The 14,609-nt window shown below is 38.4% G+C and overlaps 1 protein-coding gene across 5 annotated transcripts in view; it reads right to left on the bottom strand.

Annotated features, from left to right (window-relative positions):
* The window catches only part of BCKDHB (branched chain keto acid dehydrogenase E1 subunit beta), a 360,067-nt gene that overhangs the window by 94,270 nt on the left and 251,188 nt on the right, over positions 1–14,609 (bottom strand). The gene's annotated exons all lie outside the window — the stretch shown is intronic.

The raw sequence follows: 14,609 nt of genomic DNA, 5'->3' as shown, positions 1-14,609 counted from the left end.
AAACTGTTGCTGTTTGCTGCTGATATGATCATATAAAGACTCATCCGAAAAGCTCCTAGAACTGGCAAATAAATTCAGCAGTTTCAGGATACAAAATTAATGTACACAAATCAATAGCTCTGCTATACACCAACAGTGACCAAGCTGAGAATCAAATCAAGAACTCAACACCTTTTACAATAGCTAAAAAATACTTAGGAATATACCTAAACAAGGACCTCTACAAAAAAAAACTACAAAACACTGCTTAAAAAAATCATAGACAACACAAACAAATGGAAACACATCCCATACTTACGGGTGGGTAGAATCATTATGGTGAAAATGACCATACTGCCAAAAGAAATATACAAATTCAATGCAATTCCCATCAAAATACCATCATCAGTCTTCACACATCTAGGAAAAACAATCCAAAATTCATATGGAACCAAAAAAAGAGCCCACATAGCCAAAGCAAGATGAAGCAAAAAGAACAAATTTGGAGGCATCACATTACCTGACTTCAAACTATACTATAAGGTCATAGTCACCAAAACAGCATGGTACTGGTATAAAAATAGGTATATAGACCAATGGAACAGAATAAAGAATTAGAAATCCACCCAAATACTTACAGTTAACTTATCTTCAACAAAGCAAACAAAAACATAAAGGGGGAAAAGATACCCTGTTTAACAATTGGTGCTGGGATAATTGACAAGCCACATGTAGAAGAATGAAACTGGATCCATATCTCTCATCTTATACAAAAATCAACTTAAGATGGATTAAATACTTAAATCTAAGACCTGAAACCATAAAAATTCTAGAAGATAACATTGGAAAAACCCTTCTAGACTTTGAGACAAAGACTTCCTGATCAAGAACCCAAAAGCACATGTAACAAAAACAAAGATACATAGATGGGACTTGATTAAACTAAAATGCTTCTGCACAGCAAAAGGAACAATCAACAGAGTAAACAGACCACCCACAGAGTGAGAGAAAATCTTCACAATCTATATGTCTGACAAAAGATTAATATCCTGACTCTACAAGGAACTCAAACAAATCAGCAAGAAAAAAACAATTCCATCAAAAAATGGGCTAAGGACATGAATAGACAGTTCTCAAAAAAAGATATACACATGACCAACAAACATATGAAAAAATGCTCAACCTCACTAATGATCAGGTAAATGCATATCAAAATGACAATGTGATACCACCTTACTCCTGCAAGAATGGCCATAATCAAAAAATCAAAAAATAATAGAAGTTGGCATGGATGTGGTAAAAAGGGAACACTTTTACATTGTTGGTGGGAATGTAAACTAGTACAACCACTATGGAAAATAGTGTGGGGATTCCTTAAAGAACTAAAAGCAGATATACCATTTGATCCAGCAATCCCACTCCTGGGTATCTACCCAGAGGAAAAGAAGTCATTATATGAAAAAGATATTTGAGCATGCATGTTTATAGCAGCACAATTTGCAATTGCAAAAATATGGAACCAGCCCAAATCCCCATCAATCAATGAGTGGATAAAGAAAATATGATCTATATATATACACACACACAAACACACACACACACACACACATATATATATACACACACACACACGCTATATATACACACACACGCTATATATACACACCCCATGGAACACTACTCAGCCATAAAAAGGAATGAAATAATGACTTCACAGCAACCCAGAATGAATTGGAGACCATTATTCTAAGTGAAGTAACTCAGGAATGGAAAGCCAAACATTGTATGTTTTCACTCATAAATGGGAGCTAAGCTATGAGGTTGCAAAGGAATAAGAATGATATAATGGACTTTGAGGACTCAGGGGAAAGGATGGCAGAGGTGAGGGATAAAAGACTACACATTGGGTACAGTGTATGGTGCTCTGGTGATGGGTGCACCAAAATCTCATAAATCACCACTAGAGAACTTACTCATGTAACAAAAGACCACCTGTTCCCCAAAACCCTATTGAAACAAACATAAAATAAAATAAGCGAAAAACAGCATGCAGCATCTACCAATATGTAAAGGCCCTTAGATAGTTTATTTTCACAAGTCTTCTGAATAGATGGATGCCCTCTCTTGTCCTCCTTATTTTTCCGAAGAGAAAGACAGTTTAAGCATCATTTTCTCCTCCACATAGAGATCTGGTCTTTTTCCTCTTCTAACCTCTTTTTTTAACTGGACTATGTACTATGTTATATTGTCCTCTAATTATTCATAGGCCTATATTATTATTGCCTCAAAAAGATTCATTTTCTGAAGGTAGGAATTACTCATTTACTTCTATTTTATGACCCACAGTGATGTGTGCATCAAAAATTCAATGTCTTCCTTGACTAATATACTACTTTATTGGCTTTGATATTGCATAAGAAATGTCACAGAAGTGTAAATGATGTTTAAAACAATAGTAAGAGAGAAACTCAAAATTAGAGGATTACTATAACATATCATAAATAAAATATATCTTACAACAGCTTAGAAGCAAATCTCATTTAAAATATTATTTTTAAATTTCACAAATAACTAGAACTTTAATGTCCACCAGAATGCAGGTTTGAATGGAAAGGTTGATACTGGGTTCTAAGTTGGCTTTCCATTCCTTGGTCATAAAAGCTAACTGTACCACTCCTGAAAGCCACAGGTTATTTTGGCATTTCTTTGGATTTATAATACAAGCAGCACATTATTTCCAGTGTCTGGGCTGCCTGAAATAAGAAGTTCTACCTTGGCGTTGCAGGCAGTTAGTGACTAGATGAACCATAGTCAGGCAAGAAGGCAGTTTTAGTCTTTCCACATGCCAAACCTAAAGCAAAGGTGGCTAGAAATGGACCTAGAGAGTCTCATAAAAACAGGAACTAACTTGAACCTCACTTAAATATAAACCAAACATCATCATGAGGTTTGAAATAATCTAAACCCCCATCTTTCTTTATTAGTTCTGTTTTTCTTTTTTGTTATTGATGTTGTTTTTAATACCCTTCAAACTCTTCTGGGTTCCAGTCTAAACTGGAAATGCGAGAATAACAACACAAATACTGCCATTATTTTCATGGCCTACCCAGAGTGGGAAACACTGGAAATATCAAGACACTATAATTAAAGTTCATCAAATTACAATTTCTGTAACAAAGAATACAAATAACGAATAACAACACAAATGTTACCATTATTTTCATGGCCTACCCAGAGTGGGAAGCACTGGAAATATCAAGACACCATAATTAAAGTTCATCAAATTACAATTTCAACATCAAATTACAACAAAGAATACAAATAATAAGACAGTAGCCAGTGTGACTTTGACAGGGACTAAGTCTAATGCCCACCGATGGAATTTTTTTTCTTTTCTTTTGTTTTTTTTTTTTTTGAGATGGAGTCTCACTCTGTCACCCAAGCTGGAGTGCAGTGGCACAATCTTGGCTCACTGCAACCTCTGCCTTTCGGGTTCAAATGATTCTCCTGCCTCAGCCTCCCAAGTAGCTGGGACTACAGGCACGAGCCACCACGCCTGGCTAATTTTTGTAATTTTAGTAAAGACAAAGGTTTTGCCATATTGGCCCAGGCTAGTCTCAAACTCCTCAATTCCAGTGATCCGCCCGCCTCGGCCTCCCAAAATGCTGGGATTACAGGTGTGAGCCACCATGCCCAGGGCTGGATTTTTTTTTTTAAGTTCATGTATATAGAAATCTGGAAATGGAAAAGAAATGAAACCGCTTATTTGGGAATAACTGAAAAGCAAAGTTGTGAGCATATGTAGATGAAATCTACTCTAAATCTTGGTATCCAATTTAACTATTAATATCATCACGGTTCCTGTTACAAGTTTTTAATTAATGTTAGGTAGAAGTGGATGGCTAAACTTTATTTCCTGCCTCTGTCCAATGTCTTGAAGCTGTATTATAAGAATAATTTTGAAAAGAAATAAGGATATGGGAAATCTACAACCAGAACAACTATCTCTGAATGATCTAGGCTGACTCTTACAAATTGTAACTGCAGGCAGATATTCAATTTGGTCAATAAACCAGCAGTGTATATTGAGCAACTACCATGTGATCAGCTTTGTACAGACTGCGGACCAAATGACTGAGATTTTTGGCTAACTGAACCAGGAAGAACAGCTTTAGGGGAAAAATGGTGGATTTTATTTTAGATGTGGTATGTGTTGAGATGTATTCAGCAGGCAGTTGGATATTCAGAGGCTGGGAAAAACTGGGAGCAAGACAGGGAGGTGTTAATTGAATTTATAAAGGTGAATGAAATGTACAAAGAGAAGATGATGACAGAACTACACATGACACTTATTAGATGGACTGGATGACACAGAAACCAGTGAGAGTCCAGGGCCAGTGACATGGGTGTGTGGCCTATGCAATCTCACACAGCGTCACTCTCAGAAGGGCTCCAAGTTCAGTGTAATGCTATTGCCACAGTCTTATAATTTTTTAAAAAAATGTATCTTTGAACTGTGTTTTGTAAGCAAAGTTGGATGGGGCAATGGACCACATGCATGAGGAGAAGCACTATGTGCAATGTGCATGCCCCACCATTCCTGGCCTTCCCACTCACATATGATGTCTCATGATCACAGAATTCCAGTGGACTCACAATGCATGGGAGTTCAGCAAGACTCAATATGAGTACCAGGTACATGTTTCACCTTAGAGTAAGCATGTGCAGGGGAAGGCTGATAAGCCTTGAGAGGCTATGCTTTCTGTTCAAACCAGAACTTGTTGGTGTGAAAGAAATCAATGATGTTCAAATAAACTCCATCACATATTTTCTTACTTGTGTTAATTTCTTACTTGTGTTAGTCAAGCACTTATACTGAAAATGATGACATACAAGTAAACTGACCATAGAGAGTGTTGATAGAATGTGTGCATATCAGTAAGTGAAATAAAAAAACAGTAGAGTTTGTTTTGTGCAGTGATTCCACTGTTCAGGTAAGAATGAAATACATATATATGTATGAGCTATAAAAATAATAGCTGTATAATTTTGGTGAGTACACATATAAGTTAAATGCTTTTAAATTTGCATTTAAAATTGGCATTGTACAATATGAAGAAAAGTGGTAAAATTTATTCTAATAATTAAAAATTTTATTTTTTCTTTACTTAGAATTATGTTAAATAGCAAATAAAAAAATTCCATGACAAATCGAGAGAAAGTGCAAAAGAAACAGAATTATATTGAGTAACTTTAACAGTAATTTTTCTTGCTTTTCAAACAAGGGAACTCAAATTTTCATTTTGCTTTGGGCCCCACAAATTATGGAGCCAAGCCTGAGAGGATCAATAAATGGAAGGGGAACCAGGATAATATGAGTCATGAAAGTCACAGGATAAGTGTTTAAGAGAGAGTATTTTTGGTTATTTGTTTAAATGCAGTCCTGTTGCTGGGCTGGGGGTTAGCAGCAAGACTTTGCATGGCTGCCTTCCCAGCTGGCATAGAGCCAGGGCTCCAGGAACATGGCTCACCTCCTAATTCTGCCAGATGTCTGTTGAGAATAGACACTAAGCATGAAGGTTAAGTGGTTTCTGATAACCTTTGAGAGAGTAGTGTGGGGAAAGTAGCTAGACTGTAGGCTAGATTCCAAAGGAGTAAGGAGTGAAAAAAGAATATTAATGCAGCAAGGATAAATTACACTCTCAGAAAGTGTGTTGGAAGTCTAGATGGATGAATGGATGGATAGAGGAACTGGCTTGTGTACCTTGTTTTCTACTCTCTGTACGTTGGGCACTACACTATGAAATGAGAAAATGGGAGATTTTTATGGCATAATAAAAGTGAGAACAACACTGAAAATATTATGTAAATCACTTTATGCATAACACATTATCACTTGTAGGGTCAACAGCACACTTGGGTTATAAGTTTAAATTGGATTCTTTAATCCTTCTTTTCCTTTTGGATTTTTTTCTCTCACCGTTAAAGAGAAATGTTGCTGACTATGTCTATGAGCATGTGCTAGGGTTGCACTAGACAGCCATATTTGGTGTGTTTTTTCTTTCCAGTTATAGTTGTGGCATACAGTATACTAAACATTCAAACTCTTTCCCCAAGATCAAATTGTGTCCCATGATACGCATCTGGCTGATGTTGCTGAGAGATGGAAATTCAATCTGCGTCTTTGAAAGATATTCCTCTCAACATGAAGCCAACTGGCCCACATGGAACTCGACTCTACAACTTCTGCTTCATTAGCAGCTAATGAGTAGAGCTCAGTGCCAAACAACAGGAAAATTCCTGCTTTTATTATTCCAGGTTCAAGGCTATGGCATTGGTCTAAAGAGTAAAATTGGCCTGCAGAAAATTGCAACACACGCCACACTAATAAAAGCACAAACTGCATATACTGTAAGACATCTTTGAGTGATTATACCTGAAAGACTAATATCAGTTGTACTGAGATCATTTGCTTTCCAACTATTTCCAAATGTGTTATATTATAGCCTCCTATTCAGGACTAATTCCTGGGCCCAACTGTTGCAGGAAGTCAGGGACCCCAAATGGAGGGACCGGCTGGAGCCACAGCAGAGGAACATAAATTGTGAAGATTCATGGACATTTATCAGTTCCCAAATAATACTTTTATAATTTCTTACGTCTCTCTTTACTTTAATCTCTTAATCCTGTTATCTTCATAAGCTGAGGATGTACGTCACCTCAGGACCACTGTGATAATTGTGTTAACTGTACAAATTGATTGTAAAACGTGTATTTGAACAATATGAAATCAGTGCACTTTGAAAAAGAATAGAATAACAGCAATTTTTAGGGAACAAGGGAAGACAACCATTAGGTCTGACTGCCTGAGGGGTCAGGCAAAAAGAGCCATATTTTTCTTCTTGCAGAGAGCCTATAAACGGACACGCAAGTAGGAGAGATATCACTAAATTCTTTCCTAGCAAGGAATATTAATATTAATACCCTGGGAAAGGAATGCATTCCTGGGGGGAGACCCTCTGGGAATGTCTGTCTTATGCAGTTGAGATAAGGACTGAGCTACACCCTGGTCTCCTGCAGTACCCTCAGGCTTACTAGGGTGGGGAAAAACTCTGCCCTGGTAAATTTGTGGTCAGACTGGTTCTCTGCTCTCAAACCCTGTTTTCTGTTGTTTAAGATGTTTATCAAGACAATACATGCACCACTGAACATAGACCCTTATCAGTAGTTCTGCTCTTGCCCTTTGCCTTGTGATCTTTGTTGGACCCTTATCAGTAGTTCTGCTTTTGCCTTTTGTCCTGTTCCCTCAGAAGCATGTGATCTTTGTTAGACCCTTATTAGTAGTTCTGCTTTTTGCCCTTTGAAGCATGTGATCTTCATACCTACTCCCTGTTCTTATACCCCCTCCCCTTTTGAAACCCTTAATAAAAACTTACTGGTTTTGAGGCTCAGGCGGGCATCACGGGTGTACTGATATGTGATGTCACCCCCAGTAGCCCAGCTGTAAAATTCTTCTCTTTATACTGTCTCTCTTTATTTCTCAGCTGGCCAACACTTACGGAAAATATAAAGAACCTCCGTTGAAATATTGGGGGTGGGTTCCCCCAGTACCCAACTTTGCTTTCAACAGGTTCACTGATTGTATGGGGAAAGCCAAAGTAGGAGCAAATCTGTGTTTCTATGAATTGCCAACATTTGTTCCTGTTATCATGAGTCTGTTTTTACAGTCTGAACAAGTTTTTATTTTAATCTCAACTGAAAGCCACTGAGTTTAAGGCTCCTGATAAATGAGTAGTTTTACTCTTTGGTGTCAGTGTCTACAACAAAGAGTCTCGAAGAAAAAAGTGAGAGTCTACTTATCTCTGAAATAGACTAATGAATACGTTTTACTTATGGAGTAATACTTGTCTCAAAATTACTTCGAAACATCAGAAAGTAGGGCTGTCCTCTCACCAGTACTTTATGGCTCATGACCTCCCTGCCTGCATCAAGACACAAATAGACCTGGATCTCCTCCCTCTCCCTCCCGGCCAAATGCCCTCTTCAGAGTCAATAGCAATGCCTGATTGAATGATTTGTGCCTCCCTGCAGGCCTCTTGGCTGCCAGTAACTCACTTCAGAGTCTTGGTCATTTGTGGTGTGTCTTGAGGATGCTCACTAGCTGTTCTCTTCCTCAGTTGGTTCTATTCATTTCTGGTTTGGGGTAATTGCATGTTTGAGTTCACAGTAAAAATAAAAATATGTAAGTGATACACACTGTAAATCTTATTGCACATGATTCATACACACATGAATTTAAAAAGAAGAAAAACAGGCAGGATATCACTGTAGGAGTATTGTTAGTTATTTCAAACTTTATAAAGAAGAAAGTGTTGTGTGTTTGTTGGAAGTATTTGTGAATTGTTAGCAACTTTTACCCCACTGCCTTGCATATATGCAAATCAATGGAGTAAATAACCGTGATTTGGTTCTCCTTAGAAGTAGCCCGGGGTTCACTGCAATGCCATTAAGACTATAAGTAAGCATGGTGTTATACAAATGTCAGTCATCTACAAGCCACCTACGTAATTTTTGCCATATTAACATATTCTTTGTACTCATAATCTCAATATTTTTATGTAGACCTCCTCAGACTTTTAGTGAGTTAAGTCTATTTTAAAAGAAAACTGTAAAACACTGCTGTACTCCTTGTGCTTCACTGGATTGCATATTCTGGGTAGCATGGACATTTCTTTTGTAATCTCCTTGGCCCACAGCCCTGTGCTATGCTCATATATTATGACAATAAAGTATGTATGACAGTGTTCATAGATTGAGATCATCTTTTCTAACTTCAATGAGCTTAGTACATGAATAATTTTCTATACAAAATCATAGAAAATTCAAAATGTTAATTTTCTTGTGTGATAGAAAAGGAATGAGAAAAAAGTTGCACCCAAAGACTCATAGGATTTCAGACTTTGACATTCTGATGATCTTTTATTTGAAAAGACAAGAAAATAATATTTTCTAAAGATAAGCTCTTGAAAAAACAGTTTCTTGTAACCAAAAACATATTAACCCTTGGAACTGTATGGTAATCTCAGTCGTTTCAGAAATGCCAGTGCCAATATGCTCAATCAAATTCTCATCAATGAAAAGAATAGGGACGTTGAAAAGGTAGAATAGCAGCAGAAATAAAAGTGACCTTTTGGAAATTACTTTTGCTTTCATTGTTTGTGTTCAGATTTGAAGAGTATTCACTATTTGTTTTGCTAAAAATCTTCCAAGTGTCATTAAACTGAGAACTTGGGGCATCTTGTCTGACTTTAGGTAGAGAATAATTACCATTTGCACCCTACAAATGTGGGTAAGCTTGCACTGAAATAAACCATCCAAATCCATGATGAACATCAAAATTGTAGACATAAGGAGAAGAGTGGAAAATTGTAGTATGACAAAATAGCTACATTTAATTATGTAAAATTACATAGAATTTTAGTCTTCTTTAGAGGTGCTTTATTTAAACTTACATCTAAAGGCACGTCTTTGGTTAATGCAACTTTCATTTCAAGTCCAGGAGTTGACAGAACATTTATTAAATTTAAAATTCAAGCAGATTGTAATGCTTGCAATTTTGAAAGTTATAGGGCCACTTTTCTGAGAAAAAATATTATTTAAAACTGTGAGGTCCACTTGATCCCCTTTGTTCACATCAAATCTCTCATGTGCCCCTACCTATGAATTTTTTTCTGCTCTTTTGCAGAGAATAAATCTCATTTTAGGTAACAGAGTGAGTCTACTCAAGACTTTCTCTTCCAGCCAGGCAGCATTTTAAGAAATGGTGTCCCTCTATACATGGCCTTTGCGGATCCTATGACCATTCTTGGTTGCCCTTATCTATGAGTCCCCCAGAGAAGCCACAAGAGTGACCCAGCACTATTCCCACAAGAAAAGACACTCTGGGTGGCTTGCTGTCTGGTTAGCCGGAGGACTGAAAAATCAGTGCTATCAACTTCTGACTACACTGAGCAGCTCATTAAGCATCATTATGCCCATTATTTCCCCTGGCTCCTACAGTCCCTTTCTGAGGAAAGCATTGGTGTACACTCTGTAAAACAAGTTCTACTATCCTGGCTATAGGATATTCATTGAACCAGGAACTTGGGGCTCAACAGTGTCGCTTTGAGTCAAAATGTGATCAGAGAAGAGAAAACCAAAGATACCATGAAAATAAGATCAAGTTGACCATCACAGAGAAGAAATAAGCAGCCGCTTTCCCAGGGCTGCCTCAGAGCCCAGACAGGCTTTCAGTTCTAGTCCATGTTTGTCCTTACAAGTAATCATTACTTCTTCCTTTCTCTAAAGCTCAGGTCAGAATCTCATTTTGAAGCAACTCAGAGAAAGCCTCTGAGTTGGTATACACAGATGGTATATCTAAATAATAATACAATAAATAAATATAATGCTTTAATTATACAACTCCCAGGACCACTCTTTCTACATAAAATGTGGACTTTACTCTCTGGAGCAACTCTCTAGCTCTCTCCCATGCGTGTTCTTTCTCTCAGAATCTGCCTCCTCTCCTATTCTCATTTCAAGCCACAAAATGTGTCCTCTGTGTGCAAAACAGCACTTAGAGATCACAAAGATGGAAACGTGACAATCCCTCTTTCATGTGCGGCTTCCAAGCCTTGGTGTAACAGAGGCTCCATTTTTCCAAACTCTGCTTGCAACTGCTTTGTTAGCTACCAGTGTCAACATGACCACTTGAAGAATTTTGCTGAAGCAGAGGAAAAGCACTAGTTCTAGAGGGGGTGATGCTCCTATTTGATCATAGTAAGAGCAGCGTCAGACAGGACAGTCTAAAAAGGACTCACCATTCCCAACCCCAGGGGGCTTTCCTGCTACACTAAAGGAGAACACATCCATCCACATTTCACCTTAACCTTCCTCTACTAAGTTCTGGATAAAATACCTTACTTATGAATAAATAATAACAACAATCATAACTCCTTTAGAGAGAGGGACCTGTCAAATGTACTCTACTAGAGATGCCATCTTTTCCCAGCCCTCCACATGCAGTGCACCTGCACACTCTGTCCCAATGGAAGAGCAGGAGTAGACACCTGACCCAAGCTGGGCCAATTATTCTCCCTCCTGGGAACTTCGAATTAGAATGAACAAATATTGAGTTTGTTAATTATGTGACGCCAAGCTGGAAAGCCAGCAGGAAGAGGCTACCATTTTAAAGCAGCCCAGCACAAGGTGATGAGTAAATTAAGCAGCAGTCAGCAGAGAGAAAAGAATGAAGCTGGCATGCAGGATAGAGAGATACCGGGAGGCCCCTGGAAGACATGAAGGGAGAAATAAAGGTGGGGAAATAAAATGAAAAGCTATATAACTTTCTAATTTTTTTTCATTTTTTTCTTTTTTTTTTTTTTTGAGATGGAGTCTTGCTCTGTCACCCAGGCTGGAGTGCAGTGGTGGATCTCAGCTCACTGCAACCTCCGCCTCCCTGGTTAAAGCGATTCTCCTGCCTCAGCCTCCTGAGTAGCTGGGATTACAGGCATGTACCACCACACCTGGCAAATTTTTGTATTTTTAGTAGAGACGGGTTTCACCATATTGGCCAGGCTGGTCTCGAACTCCTGACCCCAAGTGAGTCGCCCACCGCAGCCTCCCAAAGTGCTGGGATTACAGGCATGAGCCACTGTACCTGGCCAATAATTCTTATAAGTCCTAGAGTTCTTGCTGAAATTAGATTCCTTAAATAAATTTCAACTTGCTTAAGCCAACAAGTAGATTTGGGGTCCTCACAATGAAATATACATGTACCAGTCGATTTCTTCTAATAAAAAAATGGCATCACTAAGTAGCAATCTGTGAACATAAGGCTCTTAGTTTTAGTCATAGCTGACATTAAAGAGATTACATTCGGAGATCACTTTATACTTATCACTTATTTTCTTCCATCTAAATTATTATACTTATAACAGGAGTACCACAAATTCCATTATTCATTGAGCTACTCTTGTGCACGGTGATGAATAAGTCAGGATTCCTTCCTGTTGGGGGCTGGGAATCAATGATGTCAACGAATAATGACAATGATGTGTGAAAAGTCTGTCATAGAGGCATAGGCTGATGTTCTAGGGCTTTGGAGACAATACCTTATTTGATTTTTCACCTACTTCAAAGACAGTTACAAGAATCTACACTTGGCAAAAACAGTCACACAAGACAGGTAACCATTAGTTTAGTTTCAGTAATTTGTACTTGAAGCCTGAGGAAATAAAGTATTGTTCACTTGGCACATAATTGGCATTTAATAGATGTGAGCCTCCTCCCCAATGTCTTGTCATCCCTAACCACCTCCAATCACCATTTTAACAGTTAAAAATCAGGCATAAGAAAAGATTAGGCAATTTGTCAACTTGCCTGAGAACACAACTTAATTTAGAGCTGACAACTGAACAACATTCTTTTCACTCTGAGGTAAAATTTCCCAGCAAGATGTCAGAAGAAATATACAGTCTTCTATTTAAACACGTGTGTTGGCCAGGCGCAGTGGCTCACACCTGTAATCCCAGCACTTCGGAGGCCAAGGTGGGCAGATCACAAGGTCAGGAGTTTGAGACCAGCCTGACCAACATGGTGAAACCCTCTCTACTAAAAATACAAAAATTAGCCAGGCGTGGTGGCACGCACCTGTAATCCCAGCTACTCAGGAGGCTGAGGCAGGAGAATCACTTGAACCAGGGAGGCAGAGGTTGCAGTGAGCCCAGATAGCGCCACTGCACTCCAGCCTTGGCGACAGAGGGAGACTCCATCTCAAAAAACAAACAAACAACAACAATAAGAAACAAGCGTATTAAGCCAAAAACTGGCTTATCTCTTCTCCCTCCTGAGGTGGCATTAAAATGATAATAAAAGCTTTTTTAAAAGGATAAACCCTAGTGACAAAGAAAACAGGAGGACACAAACACAACATCAGAAGAATGATAGAAATGAGTTTCCAAGGAAGAAAGTCCCAGTTCACCACGGGAAGGGTGGTGCAGGGGAGGGCCAGCCAATGGGGAGAGTTGACTGGCTGTGCCAAGGCCTTTAGAGGTTTTTGGCGTGGCACACAGTAGGTGGAGGCAAGGGAAGAGAGCCCAAAGATTCCCTTCCTGCCCTCCTACGAGGAGAACAAGGTCTCTACCTGCTCAGTGAGGGACCAGTGCTCTGCCTCCGGAGAGGCTGAGAGGGAGAGGCTTTGGGAGCAGGAAACCAGGTTCAGAGCAAGAGCAGAATGATGCGCAAGGAACAAAAGATGGGAACTAATGTCACGTGCAGGCCTCAGACCCACGAAGAACTTGGTGAACTGGGCTGCTGCCCATTAGGGGAGAGATTCGAACTATTTTTGTGTGAAAAAGCCCCAGAGTAAATCCTCTCATGTACACACTAACAATGTTGGGGCCCTCTCAGAGTGATTGATTTGCTGCCTCATTATTCAGAAATGAAGGCCACTGCTTGTCATGCCACACATCCACGGGTCTCCTAGGCAGCTCTTTTAAAAAATCAATTTATTTTATGATAGTCACATAAAATTTACTATTTTAAAGTGAAGGATTCAGTGACATTTAGTAAACTTGTAATGTTTTGCAGCCACCACCTCTATTTAGTCCCCATCGCTACAAAGTAAAACTCTGTTCTTATTAAGCACTTTCTCTCCATTCTCCCCTTCCCATGATCCCTGGAAATCACCAATCTCCATTCTGTCTTCATGAATGTATCTATTCTAGATATTTCATATGAAAGGAATCATACAATATGTGACCTTTTGCGTTGACTTCTCTCACTTGGCGTAATGTTTTGGAGGTTTATCCATGTTACCACATGTATCAGTACTTCATTCATTTTTATGATAGAATAATATTCCATTGTGTGAATACACTACAATCCAGATCGGCTTTTGATGCCTCAGTCGAATAAAAACAATCGACAATCACCATACATAAGGCAAAAGAGAGAAACCAAAATAAACAGAAAAATGAAAACTGGAGAAAACAATATAAATCAGAGGACACAGTAAAACTTTTAAAAAAGTAACAACTCATAGCCTGAAAGATTAAAAAATGCACACCCATATGTGTATCTATTTGTGTATATATGTGTATATTTACTGTATACACATATCTACAGATATATGGCATCCTTAAAATAATAAGAGGATGCTGTGAGAAAAACAAAGGTTAAAAAGAAATAGTTGGCCAACATAAAAATAATACATAGAAGGTTAGGAAGATAAGGAAATATCCCAAAAAGTCTGATCAAGAGAAATTTTGAGAGAAAAAAAAATGACATATACAATTGTGAGAAGAAAATTAAGCAATGGCCTATTTTGAAAAACAAATGTTTCTTAGTCTAAAATTCTACACTCAGCCAAACTATTAGTCAAGGGTTAGAGTAAGGACATTTTCTGACATGAATGGTCTCAGAAAATTAGCTTCTCATGAATACTTTCTAAGGAATCTATTTGTGTGCTCCAACAAAGTGCAAGAAGAAAAAAGCATGGATACAGGACACAGGAGATGTAAGTTGGCAAACAGGATGAAAGAGCTCCAGCTCAACAACAGCTGGGTCACAGGCTGAGACATGACCAGTCC

Source organism: Homo sapiens, chromosome 6 (genome assembly GCF_000001405.40).
Source record: "Homo sapiens chromosome 6, GRCh38.p14 Primary Assembly".
In the NCBI taxonomy this organism is placed as follows: Eukaryota; Metazoa; Chordata; class Mammalia; order Primates; family Hominidae; genus Homo; species Homo sapiens.
Note: the sequence above shows the minus strand (reverse complement) of the source record. Positions and strands in the feature narration are given on the sequence as shown.